Source organism: Homo sapiens, chromosome 15, assembly GCF_000001405.40.
Source record: "Homo sapiens chromosome 15, GRCh38.p14 Primary Assembly".
NCBI classification, from domain to species: Eukaryota; Metazoa; Chordata; class Mammalia; order Primates; family Hominidae; genus Homo; species Homo sapiens.
The window spans coordinates 55,893,600-55,917,660 of record NC_000015.10 but is presented as its reverse complement, the minus strand read 5'-3'; the positions used below and the strand labels follow the sequence as shown (position 1 = coordinate 55,917,660).

Sequence of the window (24,061 nt, the reverse complement as noted above, 5' to 3'; positions counted from 1 at the left end):
ATGCTTCAGTTTTGCAATGGTATTACTAGGTTAATTTTGTAGTTCTGTCCTTAAGCTTTCACTTTTTATGTAACTAGCACTTTGGAAGCTAAAATATGTATCTATTTGATGTAGTGCTAAAGTTTTAATTCATTGTAAAGTTTTGGTATTTCCAAATTTACCTAACTGTTTGAATTCACACATTAAAAAAAAAAAATTAACAGTCCCTATATTAACTAACTTGACTAGATTCCTAGTATGGCTACTATTTGGAAATTCAATCTTTGATTTGATGCTTAATTACATGGGGTTTTGTTCCTACCAACTTCCTGTAATTCTATACCTATGGGTAAAAATATTAGTGGGCAAAGTCGGCTGGAGAAAGTATAGGCACTGTGATTCACATAGTTAAATGTTCATTTAGTAGAGCTGGGGTGAAAAAATACTGTTTCAACTTGAAATGTTAGAAGATTGTTGTTCTTGTGTTACTCATTCATGCAAATTGGAGAAGGTATAATTGAAACAAGGTTGGCTGTGTTTGAGTCAGTGTGCTGCAGCTGAGCTCAGCTTAAAGGTCGCTGGAAATCAAGTGCTTTGTAAGTGAAGGCATTTTGACTACAAGCGATTCAAGACATTTTGGAAACGTCAGTCTCTGGAATGGGTCGTCTTTTTCTTTCTATGATATCTGGTATCTAATGTTTTACTTAGGATAAAGACTACTACTTAATAGCTCTTTTAGGCACCACAAATGATTTTTTCTTTTGATGCAGTGCAGCTGCTTCTAGCCTGTCTACGGACAGAGATCTTTGTTATGACTTTCAGCCCTTAACATGTTTGGAAATGAGAACAAATGGCACAAAGCTTACGATTGCACTTTGCAGCCAGAAGAAGCAATACTTACCCTTTGTCAGAAACCTCCGGAGATGACTTGGATAGCCATGTTCACATGTGCTTCAAAAGACCAACACGGATTTCAACGTCTAACGTTGTTCAAATGAAGCTGACTCCCAGACAGACTGCACTAGCTCCGTTAATAAAGGAAAACGTTCAGTCTCAAGAAAGATCATCTGTTCCCTCATCTGAAAATGTTAATAAAAAGAGCAGCTGTCTACAGATTTCACTACAGCCAACAAGGTACAGTGGATATCTTCAGTCTAGCAATGTCTTAGCTGATAGTGATGATGCTTCGTTTACTTGTATCTTGAAGGATGGTATTTACAGTAGTGCTGTGGTCGATAATGAATTGAATGCTGTGAATGATGGTCACCTTGTAAGCAGTCCAGCCATTTGTAGTGGTAGCCTTAGTAACTTTTCAACCAGTGATAATGGGTCTTACAGCAGCAACGGTAGTGATTTTGGGTCATGTGCAAGTATCACAAGTGGAGGTTCATATACTAACAGTGTCATCAGTGACAGTAGTAGTTATACTTTTCCACCAAGTGATGATACTTTTTTGGGTGGAAACTTACCTTCTGACAGCACCTCCAATAGAAGTGTGCCAAACAGGAATACTACTCCTTGTGAAATTTTTTCAAGAAGTACAAGTACAGATCCTTTTGTCCAGGATGACTTGGAACATGGATTAGAGATTATGAAATTGCCAGTGAGCAGGAACACAAAAATTCCACTAAAACGTTACTCCTCCTTAGTCATTTTTCCTAGGAGTCCTTCAACTACCCGACCGACTTCTCCAACAAGTCTGTGTACTCTTCTGAGCAAAGGATCCTATCAAACTTCACACCAGTTTATTATTTCTCCTAGTGAAATTGCACATAATGAGGATGGCACTAGTGCTAAAGGATTTCTTTCAACAGCTGTCAATGGACTTCGGTTATCTAAAACAATTTGTACCCCCGGAGAAGTAAGAGACATACGGCCGCTTCACAGGAAGGGCTCGTTACAGAAGAAAATTGTTCTTTCGAATAATACTCCCAGACAGACTGTCTGTGAAAAGTCATCTGAAGGATATTCTTGTGTTTCAGTGCATTTCACCCAACGAAAAGCAGCTACATTAGACTGTGAAACAACAAATGGTGATTGTAAACCAGAAATGTCAGAAATTAAGCTTAATTCTGATTCAGAGTATATTAAGCTCATGCATAGGACATCTGCATGTTTGCCATCCTCCCAAAATGTAGATTGTCAAATAAATATCAATGGAGAATTGGAAAGACCACATTCACAGATGAACAAAAACCATGGTATTTTACGAAGAAGTATTTCATTGGGAGGAGCTTATCCAAATATTTCCTGTCTATCCAGCCTTAAGCACAATTGTTCTAAAGGGGGACCATCTCAGTTACTCATAAAGTTTGCATCTGGAAATGAAGGTAAAGTGGATAATTTATCAAGAGACAGCAACAGAGATTGCACAAATGAACTGTCTAATTCTTGCAAGGTAAGTTTCCTTTGGTCTTGGTAAATGTTAATTTATATGAGAATAACTTAATGAAATATTTGGAGAACATTTATTGTAACCAAGCAGTTTTACATATTTTCCTGGTCCTTAGCTAGCAGTATTTTGTAGTCATAAATTTTATATTTGTAAATCTGAAGAACTCTATGTATAGTTTTTTACTCTATTTGTTATTTTACCAGTGTACAAAATGTATATTTTTAAAAATCTTCCTAAGTGATTTAAGCTATAAAACTTTTCTACAACATAAAAAACTTTCTACAACAAAACAAACTTTGAATAACAGTCTATTTCATAACATTTTATCTTGGCATATTTTTCCTTTAAATGATATAGTATTCTTTTGTGTAGCTCAATACTTTATTCCTATTTTCAAATGATCATTTTGTTTTCTCCTCTTCTTAATCATTATGAAATAGAGTAAAATTTAGAATGCTTATTTAAAATATTAAACAAAAACCCATATCAAAGTGTAAAGATCTTTTTATAAATTATCATAGAGAAACTATATCTCAAATACATGTGTTTATAAGATCATTCATAAAAACTATTATGCTGCATGTTTAAAGCAGAGGAAAAATAAATGGCATTTGTATTTGTATATACCCTTAACCACAGGAATTTTGTTTCCACCCTATTTTTCTTTAGCCACGAGTTAATACTGCCCTCTAAAATGTAACTCACTCTTTCAACAATATTGAATTCTAAGTTTTAATATTTTTGAATTTGGTTTAAATTGCTAGGCATTTACCACAATTTTCTATTTACCTTTTCATTTTTTTGACAATTCAGCTTTATTATATTAGTAATTTAACTCTTATGAATCTTAGCCAAAAGTTCTTTATGTAATTTGGCCGTTCCAAAGTATTTAAAATGGTTTGAACTGAAATAGATTTTTTAAATTTCTGTATTTGGAATGTTTTACCAGATTCCAGGAAATTTAAAAAATTTTCTAACTAAAGCAATTTTACATGACAGTACATCATAGTTTTGGGGGGAAAAAACCTTAATCTGTGTTTTTGTAACATCCATTATGTTTATTAAAGATTGTTTTAAAAAAAAAAACTTCTGGATAAGTAACTTTAGGTGAATAAAATAGTAATTGCTAGTTTATTTTCTCTCTTCTGAAATCTGGTAAATATAATAATTGTTACCAATGCCCAGATGTTAATATAAGCCACTACTTTACTAAGGATAAAAAAAGATCAGATTTCAAATTCTGATCTATAATTTAGAATTTTAAATTCCATTTAGGAAACTTTTCTAAAACCAGATTTTAGGAGATTATAATCTAATCAACTGTTTTTCTTCCTGAAAGAAAGAAATGAAGTGGCACTGAGAAGAAACGTTAATAGTATGCTAGTTGAATTAATGTTACTTATAAATTTATTTTACACTTAATGAAATAATCTGAAAGGAATAATTCATGTAGAAATATTTGTAGAAATACCTTAAAATAGTTTATTTTGTGGTAATAATTATAGTTTGTTGTGGATGCTTTTGAGAAGAGTATTTTAAATGTGTTTTTTAATGAAATGTGGATCAAATGCCTTTTGCATTGTTAAAAATATCCACTGTTACTGGTTTTATTTATGCTTAGGTAAGCTAACTTAAATATTTTTTGTGACAATCAAATGTATAACTTTGTGCAGATTCTATCTTTTGGTAGATTATTGGATTATAAAATAATTCAGAAGTGTGCAGTTTGCTGGAGATTTAAATTGTCCCCCCGTTTAATGTTTATTAGACTTCTCTTTATAAAAGCATTGTAAACCATATAGTGACAGTTAAATTTAATTTATGCTATATCTAAATAGATCTAATTGATAAATCAAAGGCTTGTTTTATGGAGAAGATTCTAGTGTTGTTTTTTCTAAATATAGCAGTGGCAACAATAATGGGTTTTAGAAATAATCTTGTGTTTATCAATAATTATATATTAATCTAATTATAGTGGTATATTGTAACTCACTTATAAATAAACAGCTCCCAAAATATTTCCCATGACTCCAGTTAGTCTGGGTTAGTATTCTGATATGCTGAGTCCGGATTCACATTTAACAAGTTGATATTAGAGTAGCATTTAGTAATGTCAGCTATCTGTACTGAGCAGCCGTGAAATTAAATCACTGCTTTGGTCAGAGAACCTGGTTTCTAAAGCACTGAGAGTCTACAACTTCTTTTCTTATATGTTTAGCTACCAGTCTCTAGCAGTATAAAATTGAGTTTCTAGCTTACTGTAATCAACAGCTTATTAATGACTGATTTTTTAAATCTAATGAGAACTTTTACCTGTATCTGGGACACTGTCTGTGTTCTGTGTTTACAACTTAGAGTGAAGATGAGACTTTGTAGTCTATCTCCATAATAATGTTGATTTCAGGCATAGCAAACAACATAACAGTGACTGGCATATGTTTATTACATATGCCTTTTGAAATACAGTATTACTTTTGTAAAGGCTATATAATGACTTTTGATCTGAAAATAAATACTTGATATTTTAACAGTATGTGTAATATTTTGTCAGTTCAATCAAGAAGCAGGTTAAGGAGCTAAGGTACTATGTATACAGTTACAACAATGATTGCTATTCAGATTTCTAAATCTGTATAGTAGTTACTTTTCTCTACTGTTATTTTGTTTCCCCCATCTGTTGTTTTCTAAATCTCCTATGTTATGTTGTTAGGATGCTCAGAGATTTCAGTACCCTATTATTTAATGTGCATTAGCATTTTTCCCAAGCTTGAATGTCTTCCATTCTTTACTTATATTCATATTTTTATTAGAATTATTTTTTACATTTTTTCTTTTTGTTATAAAAGTTTTTGTTCATTATATGTAACTTAATCCTAAATAGGTAAATTGCTTAAGCCTAGTATAGTAGAACTGTAATAAACTTATGTCTTAATTATTTCAAAGCCTTTAACACTAATCTCAAGATTATACATTTCAATATTTTCTTATTTTATTGTTCTTCCTAAAATAGATGTTTTAAATATATACTTACTTTAATGTTCCATTATTTTCCAGTCCTTATTTTACTAAATTTAGCAGAATATTTAGAGAGATTTGGTTAAATTTATTTTGAGCAGCACTTATATAAACCAATGTAATTTATAAATATTCTAAAATGTGATGCCACAATGTTAATGACTAGTTTTAGAAAGTTGGTGAAAAATGTATATTTGTACATGTATATTTCTTAGAACTGAGGAATTGTTAATTTCAGACAGATTCAGAGTGCTGAATTGTTTGCTTGAAAACATTTTGTATTCTCTGTAGATGTGTCTTGTTTAATTCATCCAGTACACATTTGAGTGCCAGGCACTGTCCCAAGCACTGAGAATAAAAGATGAGTAAAATACAGTCTCTATTTAGGGGAGCTCCCATTCTAGTAATAGGGACATGCTTGTAAACATAAAAATTTTCAGTCTAGGCCGGGCGCGGTGGCTCACGCCTGTAATCCCAGCACTTTGGGAGGCCGAGACGGGCGGATCACGAGGTCAGGAGATCGAGACCATCCTGGCTAACACGGTGAAACCCCGTCTCTACTAAAAATACAAAAATTAGCCGGGCATGGTGGCGCGCGCCTGTAGTCCCAGCTACACGGGAGGCTGAGGCAGGAGAATGGCGTGGACCCGGGAGGCAGAGCTTGCAGTGAGTCGAGATCGCGCCACTGCACTCCAGCCTGGGCCACAGAGCGAAACCCCGTCTCAAAAAAAAAAAAATTTTTTTTCAGTCTAATATGTGATGTGCTAAATAGAGGTGTGTATGAAAAAGTAGAAAGATGTGACATTATTTATCTGGAGAGAGGACCTGGTTGGTAGAGGAAGGTTTCCCAGAGGAGGTGACATTTGAACCGAGTCTTGATAGGTAAACTGGAGTTCATCAGGCAGAGAAATCAAAGAGATTCTAGGGCAGGGATTCCCCATCTCAGCATTATTATATTGGGCTGGACACTTTTGTAGTGGGGGCTATCCTGTGCACTGTAGGATATTTAACAGCATCCCTGGCCTCCACCCACTAAATGCTAGTAACACCCCTTTCTCCCAGTGTGACAATCAAAAAGTGTCCCCAGACATTGCCAGATGTCCCCTAGGGGCAAAATTGTCCCCTGTTGAGAGTCACTGCTGTAGGTGGCAGCAGCAGCATATGCAAGGCTAGAAATGTGAAAGAATCTCCACTGTAAATAGTCCAGTGGGGCTCAAGCATAGGGTAGCCTGGGGATGTGGGAGGCGGTGATCTGCCAGAAGTGGGTCAGAGTCCGATTAGGCCTGGTGCTTCATGCTGAAGACAAAGAAGGGGGTCTTCGGCTGATAGTTAAGTAGTTGGGCAATGGAGGTCTTTATTTGAGAGTGTGAAGTGCTCTCTTTAAGGTTTTTAGAAGACAATTTTTCATGGTTTCATGGATTATAAATGAATTAAAGTTTTCCTAACTTGGATGACTGGGTTAACAGTGATGTTATGAACTAAGATGGAGAATTCAGGAGAGGGGCCAGATTGGGAGGGTGAAGAAGAAATCATGTATGAAGTTTATGTGTATCAGAGGCTGCCCTGATAGTGCTGTTTTCAAGTAGGGCAGTTGGACATACAGGACCAAGGCTCAGGAGAGAAGTGAGAGTTGGAAATGTAGATTGGGAGTCAGGAGTATAGTCAAAGCCTCAGATAAGGATGAACACGTTAGGGAAGGTATACAGTGAGATGGGAAGGGAAGATAAATTATAATTTTGGGGACCACCAACTTTGGTGAGGCGGTAGAAGAGGGGATAAAGAAGAGACTAAGGAGGAACCACACAGAGGCCAAGAGAGCATGGAGGCATGGAGAGCATGGAGGCGTGGAGGCATAGAGGCATGGGTGAAAGGTGAGGGAAGGAGGAAAGCAGACAGTACCACAGAGAACATAAGTATCCACTGGATGTGTCAGTTAGGAGGTCCATTAGCAAGAGTAGGCTCAGGAGAATGCGGGGTTAAAAGCCAGATTGAAGAAAGAATCAAACAGGTAAGGAAGCAGAAACAGCCAGCATAGGTTGCTTGCTCGATGTCATAAAATAAGCATGAGATAGCATAGGCAAGGTATATATGTAGTTATTGTTATACAGAAGGCATATGTGAAGTGGATATAAGATGTATAAGACAAACTCCCTCTCTACAGGGAGAGTACAGTCTCTTTTTCCTGGAGAAAAAAATAAAGGTTACAGTCTTACGTTCTTTCACCTTGGAACTATAGAATAAGCAAGTATGATGAGTGAAAAGGAAATTCAGCAATATCAAATGAAGGAAACAGAAAATTATAAGTGAAAACTTGAAATCGCTTATGAATATTCACACCTCATTTTGGACAGCATTAGTCTAACTTTCTCAGTCCCCTCTCTACCACCAAAAATAAGACGAGACAAAATAGAGCTTCCATGTAGAAAACAAGTCAAGGTTTTAAGGCCTATTCCCAGAAACTACTTGGATAATAGGCAATTCTGTCTATGTTGCCGGCTTCTTACAGGCTATGGAGCCTACCATGTGCTAGCTGTTGTGAGGCCTCACCCGTTTGTGTCCACTCTCCCTTTACATCACAGGTGACAGGGAAACAAGACAGACCAGGAGAAGCCAGGACAAGAGGCTTTGTAGGCTGAAGGGGCTTGGCAGAGTCTCTGGGTGAGGCCAGGCGATGTGTTGAGGTCAGGAAGGTGGTTAGCAGAAGGAGCAAATGAATGCTGAGAAAGGGAACCAGTTGTCTTGTCAGCATACCCTGGAAATAATCCAAAGTATTGCTCACACGTCTGGTTCAGTATCCTCTGTTCCTTGTGTAAAATTGGGAGACCATGGTCAGATGAAGACAGATACTTAGAGATACAGTAATTTCAAAACAAGAGATGAGCAGATCTGTCCCAGTTCAATGAGATGTTTTGGGAAGGACTCAACATGGGAGCAACTGTTGAAAAGCAATTTTACCCACACTAAGATTGAAGCGAACTGTTGGGATAGAACAAGAGCAGCAGACCTGAGGGCTTAGACGAGCAACCAGCTAGTGTGTATGTGCACCTTGTAGCTCGATTCATGGGTGAGTCACAACAAAGAACACCTTGAACAAGTAAGTAAATTCATGGCATTTCTAGTTAGGCCCGAGGATGTCTGTTGGTGAAGAAAGAGCGTAGGCCTTCTCTTGACTTAGAGGTATTATAAAACCATAACACTAGGAAACATTTTGATTACCTTAGTAGAAAAATACATTACCCAAGCAAGATATTGATGATATAGTAGACAATGTCTTTAAATTCAGTTATAACTAAACTTAGTTAAGTATAGTTATACCTGAAGTTAAGTACAGATATACCTAAAATAATATTATCCAGGATTGCTTCCTTTTATTTACTTTTTATCTCAATTGTTTTTTTATGATGAGGTCTCATTATGTTACACAAGCTGGATTTGAACTCCTGGGCTAAAGCAATCCTCTTGCCTCAGCTTCCTGTGTAGCTGGGACTACAGGTGCACTGCTGTGTCCGACTCACAGGCTACCCTCTAATGCTTTATTAAGGAATTAGAGAATGGCTTATTAAGATGTCAGCTGGGCCAGTGATTTTTAAATTCTCATGTGCATGTAAATAACATGGCGATCTTATTAAAATGCAGATTCTGGTTCTGGTTCAGTAGGTCTCAGAATGGGGGCCTGAGATTTCTGTATTTATAACAGATCGTACCAATGCTGGTAATTCCCCAGACACACTTTGAGAAGTAAGTCTTAAGGCCATTCTTTGATGAGAACAGTAATACAGTTCAAAGTCGAAGTATCCATTGAGTCCCTGCAATGCCATTATTGTGGCCATTATCACGAGTAATTCATTAAAAACATATCAATAATACTTCAGATACTAAGTGTACATGCAGCAGAAAAAAAAGTTAAAGATGGAGATATGGCAATAGGTAGGCAAATGTAAATTCACTAGAATTGATTAGAGAAGTATTCTGGAGAATGGATTAAGCAAATCTTTTCTGGGCTCAGATTTGCTAGAATACAGTTCCCTACTATAGAGAACAATGACTAGCTCAAAATAGACACTTAATAGATATTTATTAAATTAATGAATAAAGCCAGGGACCCTTTGGAATGAGGTAGAGATGACTGCAGAATCCTGATAGGTGAGGATGACTACACACAGCCTTGCAGAAACAGATAACCAAACTAGGATATTTGAGTGATGACTGTGATGATGAGTGGGAGCTACGTGATGCTTCATCCTTTGCGTGGAAGAGTGGCACTCTTAAATGAATACCTTGTCCCTGGGGTGAATGCCAATGGAATATTATGATCGTGACTCAAGGATTAGTTTCCACAGTGGAGTCTGATTCATAGCCTACATATTCCACTAACTGGTACCGTATAACTGGGTGTCTGGATAGAGGCTCAGATCAAGTTTCCTGAAAAGAAGATTGAATGGACAAAGATCTTTAAGGGTATTCAGACAAAAGCCATTTGACTAGCTTTCTTTCAGTTTATCGTTGTTTTATAAAATGACTTCCCTCTAGACTTTATTGTAAGAGCTGGGATTCTCAGACTAGTTCCTGGAGTTTTAAGTAACTGTTTCAGCTAAGAATGACCTTTACTTTTGTAACAAGGCTGAAAGACTGAACCCTCTTAAACAGTCACAGAGCTTACTGGAAACTCAAGTCGTCTTCAAAGCAAATGAGTTTAACAAGTATTTATCAGAAATAGAATATGTGCCTGCCATAAGTGGCAAATATTCTTCCTGGATGTGAAGAGGTTATAATTGAAATGAGACAATGGCATAATCCATAGAAAACAACCAGAGAACAATATAGTATAATATATAATAATGTTTATATACCTACTTCATGCAGGTAAACACCTAAACATTGAGATATGTGATTGCCCATATGATTTAATTACTTTTATCAAGGTAAAACATGTGCCCATTTTAAAAGTCAGATATTATTTCTTTGAAGATTTTCTGTCTTTTTCTCCATGTTTTCTCTTCCTAGAATTCCTGTTAGCCAAAGTTTGCACTTCCTGGATTGACCTTAAAATTTTCTTTTCTCTCCTGTTTTCTGTTTCTTTGCCTCCTTAATCTACTTCTTGGAAGATTTCTTCCAAGTTTCCCCCTTTCTTTAATTTTAAAATTTTGTTTATTTTTTATTTTTATTTTTTTTTATTTTTGAGACAGTCTGGCTCTGTCGCCCAGGCTGGAGTGCAGTGCCGTGATCTTGGCTCACTGCAACCTCTGCCTCCCAGGTTGAAGCAATTCTGGTGCCTTGGCCTCCCGAGCAGCTGGGATTACAGGTACGTGCCACCTGTCTGGCTAATTTTTTTATTTTTAGTAGAGATGGGGTTTCACCATGTTGGCCAGGCTGGTCTTGAACCTCTGACCTCAAGTGATCCACCTGCCTCAGCCTCCCAAAGCATTGGGATTATGGGCGTGAGCCACTGCGCCCAGCCTAAAATTTTATTTTTTATTTATTTATTTTTTAATTATACTTCAAGTTCTAGAGTACATGTGCACAATGTGCAGATTTGTTACATATGTATACATGTGCCATGTTGGTGTGCTGCACCCATTAACTCGTCATTTACATTAAGTATATCACCTAATGCTATCCCTCCCCCAGCCCCCCACCCCACAACAGGCCCCGGTGTGTGATGTTCCCCTTCTTGTGTCCAAGTGTTCTCATTGTTCAGTTCCCACCTATGAGTGAGAACATGGGGTGTTTGGTTTTTTGTCCCTGCGATAGTTTGCTGAGAATGATGGTTTCCAGCTTCATCCATGTCCCTACAGAGGACATGAACTCATCATTTTTTATGGCTGCATAGTATTCCATGGTGTATATGTGCCACACTTTCTTAATCCAGTCTATCATTGATGGACATTTGGGTTGGTTCCAAGTCTTTGCTATTGTGAATAGTGCTGCAATAAACATACGTGTCCATGTGTCTTTATAGCAGCATGATTTATAATCCTTTGGGTATATACCCAGTAATGGGATGGCTGGGTCAAATGGTATTTCTAGTTCTAGATCCGTGAGGAATCGCCACACTGTCTTCCACAATGGTTGAACTAGTTTAGAGTCCCACCAACAGTGTAAAAGTGTTCCTATTTCTCCACATCCTCTCCAGCACCTGTTGTTTCCTGACTTTTTAATGATCGCCATTCTAACTGGTGTGAGATGGTATCTCATTGTGGTTTTGATTTGCATTTCTCTGATGGCCAGTGATGATGAGCATTTTTTCATGTGTCTGTTGGCTGCATAAATGTCTTCTTTTGAGAAGTGTCTGTTCATATCCTTCGCCCACTTGTTGATGGCATGGGCAAGGACTTCATGTCTAAAACACCAAAAGCAATGGCAACAAAAGCCAAAATTGACAAATGGGATCTAATTAAACTAAAGAGCTTCTGCACAGCAAAAGAAGCTACCATCAGAGTGAACAGGCAACCTACAGAATGGGAGAAAATTTTTGCAATCTACTTATCTGACAAAGAGCTAATATCCAGAATCTACAAAGAACTCAAACAAATTTACAAGAAAAAAACAACCCCATCAACAAGTGGGCGAAGGATATAAAATTTTATTTTTAAAGTTCTTTCTTGTTTCTGATGATTTCCTAGTCCTAACGTCCTACTTGTTTTTATGAATACAATCTCTTATTTCTCTGAGAATATTTTACTTCGGGTTTGGTCTATTTTCTTTCTTAAGTTTTGTTTCAGGTCCTATGTTGTCTCTGGTTCCCTTTGGTCCCTTTGCTGTTGTTATTGTTATTTCTCTTTAATACTGGACATTTCCCTCCAGATATCTGTTGTTGATATTTGAGAGTAAGTCGCTATGAAGTTGCCTGGAGGTTCTGTAATTATGTTGGGCTTTTCAACTGGTGGGTTTCACTGTTGGGAAACCCCCCAATTGTTAGTGTCTTCTCTCTGAGGTCAATTTGTTTCTCCAGAGAAGAAACTTCTAATGATTGCCAGTTATGTTTTACAGCCATGGTTAGTGACAAATCAGGAGTGAAGGTGATTCCTTTATATAAGTTCTGCAACTGAGTGAATTCCAGGTAAAATATGTCTTAAAAGTGATATTTACTTACAGAATTCTTAACATGCTGATGATAATTTAATTCATTTGCAGTAAATGAAATGCCTGATTTTCTTTTCTTTTCTTTTTTTTTTTTTTGAGACGGAATTTCGCTCTTGTTGCCCAGGCTGGAGTACAATGGCACGATCTCGGCTCACTGCAGCCTCTGCCTCCTGGGTTCAAGCAATTCTCCTTCCTCAGCCTCCTGAGTAGCTGGGATTACAGGCATGTGCCACCGTACCCGGCTAATTTTGTATTTTTAGTAGAGACGGGGTTTCTCCATGTTGGTCAGGCTAGTCTCAAACTCCCAACCTCAGGTGATCCACCCACCTCGGCCTCCCAAAGTGCTGGGATTACATGCCTGGCCAAAATGCCTCATTTTCATACCTCTGGTCTGACATACCTTGTGTATATTCTAGAAGCATATACACTCCTAGAAAGACTGAAGTAAACACTCTCAAGTAGAAAATGTGGTTTCCTTAACGTATTTCTCAACTTTTTGCATTCTTGGTAATACATTGAAGTGCAAATATGCATACCTGTCACTCAGAAGAAGAGAATCAACCTGTTTAAAATGTGTATGGAAATACGCCGGGTGTGGTGGCTCACACCTGTAATCCCAGCACTTTGGGAGCCTGAAGTGGGCAGATCACTTGAGGTCAGGACTTTGAGACAGGCTTGGCCAGCATGGTAAAACCTCGTCTCTACTGAAAACAGAAAAATTAGCCAGGCGTGTTGGTGCACGCCTGTAATCCCAGCTACTCAGGAGGCTATGACAGGAGAATGTCTTTAACCTGGGAGGCGGAGGTTGCAGTGAGCCGAGATCGAGCCACTGCACTCCAGTCTGGGTGACAGAGTGAGACTCTGTCTCAAAAAAATGAAATAAAATAAAAGGTGTATGGAAATAGAACAAGGAGGAAGAGACCCTAACAGCCTTCTAGTAGAGTTTAATATTGGATGTTCACTGTCACTAGGACTTGAAGCCTCAACTATGATTTTTAACTTGGAGAAAACCTTGATATATTCTTTTCTTTTGAGATGCAGTCTTGCTCTTGTCCCTGGAGTGCAGTTGTGCAATCTCGGCTCTCTGTGACCTCCGCCTCCAGAGTTCAAACGATTCTCCTGCCCCAGCCTCCGAAGTAGCTGGGATTACTGGTGCCCGCCACCACATCTGACTAATTTTTTTGTGTTTTTAGTAGAGATGGGGTTTCACCGTGTTGGCCAGGCTGGTCTCAAACTCCTGACCTCAGGTGATCCTCCCACCTCGCCCTCACAAAGTGCTGGGATTCACAGGCATGAGCCACCGTGCCCAGCCAATGTGTGTATATATATATATATATATATATGTGTGTTTTTTTTTTTTTTTTGAGATGGAGTCTCACTCTGTCACCCAGGCTGGAGTGCAGTGGCACGATCTCGGCTCATTGCAACCTCCGCCTCCCGGGTTCACGCCATTCTCCTGCCTCAGCCTCCCGAGTAGCTGGGACTACAGGCACCTGCCACCACGCCCAGCTAATTTTTTGTATTTTTAGTAGAGCTGAGGTTTCACCGTGTTTAGCTAGGATGGTCTCGATCTCCTGACCTCGTGATCCACCCACCTCGGCCTCCCAAAGTGCTGGGATTACAGGCGTGAGCCACCTTGCCCGGCCCCAGTATATTCTTTTTTAAACCCTTAGCCTTATATTTGTAAAAGTTTAAAACAGCATACTTCATGTGCCACATTTTAGGAAACTGTCTGAGATAGTGATTATATCTCCATATTAGAAATAAGTAGAAAGGCCCAGAAATTTTTAAATGACTTGCTGAAAATCACAAATCTAGCAAATGTCATACTTCAACCAAAACGCAACTCCATTATGTATTTTAAAGCACCTTTCTACTACCACTAGCCAAAAGGACTCTCATCGGGCACTGGGAGAATCCTACAGGATAAAGCTGCTTGGAAAAGATTACTTTGGTAAAAATAGCATCAGAAAGAAAAAAAAGAGTTGTCTAAAGGAAAAATTCCATTTGGGCTGACTACAATCTAATGAATAATGTTTACACTCTGAAGAATGTATAGTCCAGATCAAGTGTTTTCTTATGGCCATTGTTGAGTGAAAAAAAAGTTTAGGGATTATTATTAAACATTACCAGAGAACCAGTTTCTCTCGCAAATATTTCTTTTTATTTATTTATTTATTTTTTATTTGAGATGGAGTCTCGCTCTGTCACCCAGGCTGGAATGCAATAGCACGATCTCGGTTCACTGCAACCTCCACTTCCTGGGTTCAAGTGATTCTGCTGCCTCAGCCTCCTGACTAGCGGCGATTACAGGCACCTGCCACCATGCTGACCTAATTTCTCTCAAATATTTCCTTCCTTGTCTTCCAACTTGTGATTTATAATTACTTTGTTTTTTTCTGATTACTTTTATTGATTAACACATACTTTGTTTTCTGCCTCCTATAACATTGTTTATGAATTTCATCCTTAAGTTCTTTTTATTTAATAAATGTTATAAACTACCTATATTATTATAAGCTAGTTTTTTCCCAAATATTTTAAAACTTTTCGTTAGGGAAAATTTCAAACATACACAAAAGTAGAAAGAATATTGCAGTGAACCCCTATGTATGCCTCATCCCGTTCTAAAATATATCAACATTTTGTTGATTATATCATCCATCTCCTCCTCGCTTCTCCTTTTTTCTAGAATCTTTTTTAAAAAATACATATTGTACCCATAAACACGTTGAAATGCATCTGTGATGGTTAGGAGCCTTTTACATATATAAAGCCACCATGCAGTCGTGACAAAATTAATGGTAAAAGCAACATTAATTCTAAACTGTTTTGGCTAGATAAATCTCTAAGTCACTATGTCATTTTAGTATTGACAAAATTCAAGATGGATACATCTCTTTTGACTTGCATCTGTCTAATTCATCTATTTTCTGATATTCACATCTCTTTGGGATGGAGCATGTCAGTTATTTACCATAGGATTTTCTCTTTCTTTAATCAGATAACTTTTGATAATGCATGGGTTACCAATATAATTGAGGCCTTCCTTTGGAACCTAAAACCAAGAGATTAGAGTTCAGATTTGGAATTTATCATCTAACCACATCTTATCTAAGCCTTAATTGCCGCACTGTATTTAGGGTTCAAACATCTGGGATAGCTACCTTACTCATTCCTAGGCAGAGGTGAAAATGTACTCTATGTTGAAGTAACTCTATTAGTTCCTATTATAGCTTTTCCAAATCCTGGTTTTTATATTTATATAATATAAAATTTATGAAACATTGCAACAGTGTTTCAAGTACTGGAAATTTTATATGTTTGGCAAATACTTGATGCTCAATAAAGAGTAGCTCTCATTATCTACCTTATATTGTTGTGAGAGTGTCTGAAGGCACTGTAAACTGTAAAGTGCCATGATATGTAACATGTAATAATTGTTTTTTATATGTACAAATGGAATCATATATGTAATTATGAATCCACATGAACAGTTAAGTAATGGGAAATGCATGAAAAGAACACATTAAAAAGTCAAGTAAAAATACACAGACCACGAATCTGGGGAAGCACTTCTTCATAAGAAACCAAAGCAAAGATCAAAGTCTGTTTTCAAAGGAATACAGGATTTCTAAAGCCTATTAACAATTAAGCCACAATTCTTTTTACTTATACTCACGAATTTTGATTGGATGTATTCTTAGGGACAGTGTCAACACTGGATGTACTGAAGGAGAACAAAAATAAGAATTATACAGCAAATTAACAGGAGTAAATAATTAGCCAGAAAGTCCTATATGTGGGCCACAAGCCCCACATTGAATATCCAATAATTGGTAGTTCTAAAACGAACTCTTGTTTCTTTGATCCCCCATTGAAAATTTTGACTTATGGAGACGATTTCATAAATGTAAAACATAAAATTGTAGACTTTTTTCTCTTCAGTTTTTAAACTAAAGAATTCACAGAGCTCTCAATAGTTAAGATATCACAAAGGATAAATGCTTGAGGGGATAGGTACTCCATCATCCATGATGTGATTATTATGCATTTCATAGCGTATCAAAACATCTCATGTACCCCATAAATGCATACACCTACCATGTACCCACAAAAATTAAAAATTAAAAAAAGTTAGATACCAGTTTTCGCTAATAGCATTCTTTTTATTTAAATGAGTTTATTATATGTGAAAACATTAAAATAAACATCTTATTTTGTAAAAACCACTATTATAACTTGGTTTTTATCTTACTCTTGATCTTTAGGAATCAGTTCATCTTCTAGCTGTCATCAATGTTTTTGCCTCATATTTTAAACAAAATATTATTAATACATTTGCAATGGGAAATATATCCTAGTGTGCCAATTTATCTTCATATTAAAATGTTTAGTTGGCAGTTGTTGACAGGGTAAAAGCAAAGTAATTCAGCTATTATAATTTTACATTTATATAGTTACTCTTTGAGACATACATAAAAGCTCAATTTTGTATGATTCATATAAGCAACTCAATTTTGTCGGTCTGATAGGGCTTTTATAAAGCTCTCTTATAGCTATCTCTCCCTTTACTGAAAGTAATTATGTATTTGGCTCTTAGGATATTTTTTAACCTTCTGAAGTTAATTTGGGTATGACCCTGGCATGTTATTTATAAATATTAGCAACAGGTGGTAAAATTGCCGAAATATATTATACTGATACCATAATTTTGGAGCAAGCTAGTCAAATCTGTTTACTCCATTTAATCTGAGTTTCCTAAGCTTCACCAGCCTGCAGGGACCAGTAGATACAAAATAACAATTATAACCCAAATTTCACTGACTTAGCTCTTCTCTTCTCATAAAAGATCCCAAGCAGCTATAAAGTGCTCTTCAGTATTTCTGGGATTCCCAGGCATGGCTCCCATGCGCTCTAAAACAAATCCAGTCCTGTGGAGCAGTATTTCCAGGCATATGCAGCGCACCTGTTGTCACCTTGGAGTCCTGCTGTGTCCCACTGGGCTCTGGTTCCTCCTCCTTTCCTTACGATGAGTTCTTGTCCAGAAGCATCCTTAAAAAGCTTATCTCAACCTTTTCTTAGGTATGATGAGCCAAACTAGTTTAAAAAAAAAAAAAGTGGAGTCATGATTCTGAACACAGTGTGGTGTGGGGCATCATTCAGCTTTGAGGACATGTCTGAATCTCAGAGACAGCAAGAACTAAAACTAAGATCTTAAAACCAGAAAGTACTGTTTTACTAAAAAAAATTTCCTACAGCACCACTGTCCAGTTTAGTAGCCAGTAGCCACATGTGGCTATTGAGATTTAAATTAGCTTAAATTAAATTGGATTTAAAATTCAGAACCTCATTTGCACTAGACACATTTCCTGTGCTCCATAGCTACATGTGATCACTGGCTCCTGCATTGGACAGCAGTAGTACAGAACATTTCCATCAGTACAGAAAGTTCTGTTGGACAGGGTTCCCCTAGAACATTAGGTCTCAAGCTGCAAGACATTGATACCCCTGTACTTTCACAATGATCCAGTGTATTGAGGAAAACGCCTAAAGCTGCTGTACTAGGTGGTTATGGCTGAAGGAGTGGAGCCCCATCCCAATGGCTTTATTTTTCTCTACTGGTACCTGCCCTAATGTTTAAGCAAGAAAATACTGGTTTTAAAGGGGTTTGTTGAGTTATTTTCTTAAGCAACAGTAACCCACATCCCCGTTTTTCCTGTTTTCATTGATATGTTATAGTCTTCAGTAAAAATCATATGAGTTTTCAACCCTGGAAAAAATCTTAAAAACTGTTTATAGATCAGCTAAACTTACATTTGATCAGATAACCAGGTAATCAAATTGTAAGAATAATCAGTTTCTACTTCTGAAATACATTTTTAAAAACTAATAAAAGGCTATTCATTTCAAAAAGTAAAACTTTTTATAGAAAACATTTTATTCTGCCACTACATAATGTAGTCTTGTGCCAAGGTTTGAAAAAGAGAGAGAGAGAATTAAAAAGAAGAAGAAAAACTACTTTGGGAATTATTTGATAATTATTTTGTTTGTTGTTTAGAAATATTCTCTGGCCATATGTACAATCTTTACACATACTTCTTGCAGTGTGTTTATTGTACTGAGAAGAAATCTTTGTTTTCACTGATCACTGTGCATCATTTGTGCTTACTACCATTTGTTAATGAATAGGAAAAAGACTACTAAAAATCTAACAAACAGATTTTGCTTTTTAAAGGTCTTTTCTTGGCCAGGTACAGTGGCTCACGCCTGTAAGCCCAGCACTTAGGAGACTGAGATTGGAGGATCACTTTAGCCCAGGAGTTCAAGACCAGCCTGGGCAACAGAGTGAGACCCCTGTCTCTATTTAAAAAAAAATTGTTTTTAATTAGCCAGGTGTGGTGGCGCTTGCCTATAGTCCCAGCTACTCAGGGACTGAAGCAGGAGAATCACTTGAGCCCAGGAGTCCAAGTTGCATTGAGCTACGATTGTGCCACTGTATTTAGCCTGGGCAACAAAGTAAGACCTTGTCTCAAAAAAAAAAAAAAAAAAAAAAAGTTCTTTTTGTGAAATACAAAAGAGCAGAAGATATTATCCCAACTTCTGATAGGGCAGTCTAGGCAAGGAAGACAAAGAACATATATAAGATGTTTTGAAATTATTAAAGAAGGATCAGAGTGTTGAAATTATTGTAAGCATCAAGGCTGCTTGCCCGTGAATTAAGGAAGTTTGCAGGAGGATAATCTCAGTAAAGTCTGTAGACTGAAAACTTTCATAAATCCTGAGTTGTTAACAGTGTTTTCAGGCCCACTAATGCTAGTGTTGTTTAATACATAGAAAAAATTGAATATGAAGTTCAGTAGTTTGTAACTTTTAGATTCATTTACCTTTGAAAATGATTAAAACCGGAATCTGGAGCAATAAATCTAACAACCAAATGATGAGCTAAATAGTGACTTCCAACTATGTGCAGTGTGTTGGTAGGCCTTACACTATATGGAAAAACTTAGGAATTATTTTTAACCTTCCTTTTGGAACATTGTGTAAACATTCTTAGATTATACTTAAACTATTAAGTGGGGTAGTTTTATCTGAATCTAAGTCCACTTGAGTTGTGGATTTCACCTCTCATGGATGTGTGTTTTAATTGTGGGGTAATGTCAATGGAAGATCAGGGTTATAATATCATGGCATTTGAATAATAGAAATTCACGTAAAATATTCTAATCTGTCAAACTTTACCAACTGTGTGCAGATTCCACAGCCAAGGATGGGAGTGTGGCTCATGGCCACTAGAGGGCAGGAAAGGTCAGGAACCGGATGTGGAAGCCTGGGGAAAAGTATAGGGGAAAGCTTGGATCACCCCTTCGTAAGGAAGACAACTTGCCACAACTTGAAGCAAACACAATTCAGTCCCTGAGGCAGGAAAGACAGTAAACGATGCAGGAACATAAGCCACAGTCAAGGCCAGGAGGACACATGGGCAGGGAATTAATAAACCAGTCTGGAGCCCAAACCTTACCAGGCTGTCAAACTGCTGGCAGAAAGCTAAATGTAAGGCCAGGTTGAAGAAGGCAGTCAGATTGCAGGGAGTTGAGCAGGTCATTCGACCCTCACTATTATTGCTCCAAGTTGAACATACTGACCCTTTTGAAATGGGCAAAGTGGGACTTTAAGAATCTAGTGATTGAAAAGTCAAAGGAAATCTGATACCATCTTCTTTTGATATTGCAGCATTTCCTGTCACAACTCCTGATTTAGTTTTGTAATGCTAGAACTATTCCTATTTCCTTCTTGGAAAATTCCCTCCACGTCCTAGAGTACTTCCTCAGGTCTAAATAGCTAATGTTTACAAAGGAAGGATTAAGTAAGACGAAGATGACACAGCAGAGTTTTCCATTAAGACATGCCATATCGGCCGGGCGCAGTGGCTCACGCCTGTAATCCCAGCACTTTGGGAGGCCGAGGCGGGCGGATCACGAGGTCAGGAGATCGAGACCATCCTGGGTAACACAGTGAAACCCCATCTCTACAAAAATACAAAAAAATTAGCCAGGCATGGTGGCGGGCACCTATAGTCCCAGCTACTCGGGAGGCTGAGGCAGGAGAATGGCGTGAACCTGGGAGGTGGAGCTTGCAGTGAGCCAAGATTGTGCCACTGCACTCCGGTCTGGGCAACAGAGTGAGACTCCATCTCAAAAAAAGCCATGTCAATAATCATATTTAATATTTTATAAATTGTATATTCATAAATATATACAAATATATTTATAAATTATCATGTTTAATAATTTAGAATTTATCTTTAGGTCTTAAATAGATAAATTATGTTAAAACTATAAAGGTAAGGCACATTGGGCTATAACAAAGAATAAAAGTTTTCCTTAACATTTCTATATACATGAATAGAATTTTATCCTTTTCCTTTGCAGTTTTTACACAGATTTTAATTATATATGCATATTTGTCCACCATGCATGACTGGAGGCTCCATGATACCAGAAATACCCTCCTGAACTTAACCTGGAGCCTGACTCTAGAAGCTAGTCACTAGTATTTGTTGACCTCAAGGAATTTACCGTCTGGTTGGAGTGCAAGAGAACTATAATACAGATATTAAAAACAGATACAAAGGGAAGTAGAATTACAGAGGAGGAAATTAGCAATTTAGTATCATCAGGTAAATTTTTATTAAAATGGCATTGTGGCCAGGTATGGTGCCTCACCCTGTAATCCCAGCATTTTGGGAGGCCAAGGCAGGTGCATCCCTTGAGGCCAGGAGTTCGAGACCAGCCTAACCAACGTGGCAAAACCCCATCTCTACAAAAAAATACAAAAATTAGCCAGGCATACCGGTGCATGTCTCTAATCCCAGGTACTTGGGGAGGCTGAGGCAGGAGAATTGCATGAACCCAGGAGGTGGAGGTTGCAGTGAGCCAAAATCGTGCCATTGCACTCCAGCCTGGGCAACAGAGTGAGACTCTGTCTCAAAATAAATAAAGACAAAAGTGAATAAAATGGCATTGAGCTGGGTGTGCTGAGTGAGCTTGAGAGGGCAAAATATAGGATCATTGCAGCTATTGGGGGGCTTTTGTTAATAGAAGGCTGCAAGGTAGATTGGAAAAAACAAACTAGAATTCCATGCCAAGGAATTTAGTTTTTCCTCTGGACCAGTATTTTTGAAATGTGGTCCTCACCAGTCTGTAAGATGCCTCGTATAAAACCTACCCCATTGACAGATAGGTTTGTATAATGCCACATGCTGTATCTTGGAATACCACAGTGCACATTAGTAAATCTAAGTTCCTAAAGTTCTGTAGGAAATAAACTTTTGAGCTTGGTTTAACCAAATGTATCCCAATTATATGACCAGCGTTAGATGGCCTGCTCATTTATCTTCAGCTATTAACAATCATTGCTCACTCCTCCTGGTTTCTCCAGACACTGAATAGATACATGTTTCTCAAGGTGTATTGCTGGCCAGATGCATTAGTATCACCCAAGAACTGCAAATTCTCACACATTATACCAGATCAGCAGAATCAGAAATTCTAGGGGTAGAGCCCAGCAATCTGTCTTTAAATAGCCTATCAGGTGATTTTAACACACACTGAATTTCAGCCTGAATCTTGAAACTCTAGATTAGGTTGGGCACAGAGCCTCCAGCTTTCCTCAGCTACCACAGCTTCCTTTTATCCATTTTAAAGTAGTTTCCTGTTTATCTGTTTTAAAATTCACCTTCTCACACTTACTTGTTTTTAAATTGAACATCCAAGATTTTACACAGCTCAGCTCCTTGGTTTCTTAGAATTGAAGGCACTCTATATTTGCAACAGTAGCAGTCGTCTGCTGATTTCATTTCTCATTTAAACTGCAGAGATAATTCTCCAGAGAATGTTAGCGTCCACCTCTTCGAAAGTTATCTTTTCCTTTCCCTAGTAGCTTGGCAGACATTTCTAAAAAGAAAAAAATTAATATCATAATTAGTGCTCAGAAGTGTGAATCTCTATTTTCAGTCGAGAGTGAATACTTTTCTTTTGGAAAGGAAGAGCTTTATCCATTTTAGCAGTTACCTAGCTGTGAGTATTTCCTGGCTAAATTATAACTTTATACCTTAGTTCTCTTGTTATTTTCCTTTGTTCAGAAATATAAATTTGAAACAATGGGATGAGCCCCTCCCTTTTTTAGAGGTGGAAAGAAAGTTGAAACAAATGCAAAACCTTTTTCTCATATTTAGTAGTCATCTAGTTTAGGAGCATACAATATAAATTGCTCCTAAAAATGTTGGATATATTACATTTTAACTTTAGAAATAATTATAAAATCCTATTTATATTTGATACGGACACAACCTCTGATTCCTGTTATGTCTTGCCTGCTTCAGATTCCTTCTTTCCTGTAGCATATTAAAAAATGGTTTGTATTTTTAAATCCTCACAATAAATCATGAATGAAACTTTAGAGCATGTAAAGATAAACTTGACAAGGTAAATCATCTGTTTTCACAAGTCTGTGATAATTAGAAAGTAAGAACTCCAAAGAAATTGAAATTCAAAGGACAATAACTCAAAGTGAAACTGATTTAGAAAGTAGTTTCTCCTGACTTCCACCTCACCCCAATCTGTGAGGTAAAAGCCCCTTTAAAGATGTGAGGGTTTCTAAGGGCCGTAGAATTTCAAGTAGTGTGAAGCTACTATCAAAGAACCAAGTACCGGTGTCTCTTGGTATTTGCAGGGGGAATGGTTCCAGGACCCCACAGACACCAAAATGAGCAGATACTCAAGTTCCTTAAATAAAGTGGTATAAAATTTGCATGTAACCTACACACATCCTCCCATAAATTTTGTCATCTCTAGATTACTTATAATACCTAATACAGTGTAAACACTATGTAAATACTTGTGCTGCATTGTTTTTTAATTTGTATTTTTTTATTGTTGTGTTATTTTTTCTTTTCAAATATTTTTGATCCCGGATTGATTGAATCCACCGATAGAGAGAGCTGACTATACAGTTTATGTCTTATAGTCAGATCTACCAGAAAGGCTAGAGGCCGAGCAAATCACAAACTTAAGACATGGAATGCTTGCTTTATGCAAAGATATCCAGTTTCCAAAGCACTATGATTTTATAGCACAGATTAAATTGTTTATCTAACTCCATTTCCTCATTGACATATAGAAAGATTGACTCAGTAAATTTTGAACTTCTAGGAAAATGTTTTAAATAAGCCCATTATAGTATAAAGCACAGTCAATAAGGAAGTAGGAAAGAAGCAGCTATACAAATGCAATTTTGTTTATTAATAAGATTGGTTTACCTTAGAAAACAGTTAAGTTAAATTTACAGTGATTTTTGTGAGCCTTTTTTCTATCTATATCTAGTATGTAGTATGAATCCATATAGTGTGGATTTTGAGAGGAAGGATGTTCATTTAAAATAATAGTTTTTATTATATTCAGCAAGCAGAAAAATATGGTTTCTTATTTTTAAAATACTATAAAAGGTCTATTCATATAAGTTCTGCTTATTTTTCTGAGACACTCATGTGCGAATATCATGTGTCCAAATACCCACTTTTCATGTGTT

General features: G+C 37.1%; 1 protein-coding gene across 10 annotated transcripts in view; it reads left to right on the top strand.

Moving 5' to 3' along the window:
- NEDD4 (NEDD4 E3 ubiquitin protein ligase) overlaps positions 1–24,061 on the top strand; it is a 166,696-nt gene that overhangs the window by 75,952 nt on the left and 66,683 nt on the right. For 3 of the 10 annotated variants that reach the window (NM_198400.3, NM_001284340.1, NM_001284339.1), the window contains exon 1: positions 530–2,377. The exons of 5 other annotated variants lie outside the window; for them this stretch is intronic. In NM_198400.3, the coding sequence (NP_940682.2) occupies positions 830–2,377 (1,548 nt within the window). In that variant the 5' untranslated portion in view covers positions 530–829. Of the gene's footprint in view, positions 1–524; positions 2,378–24,061 lie in introns of those variants that run through there. 2 more of the 10 variants (NR_104302.2, NM_001284338.2) reach the window with 1 other exon arrangement.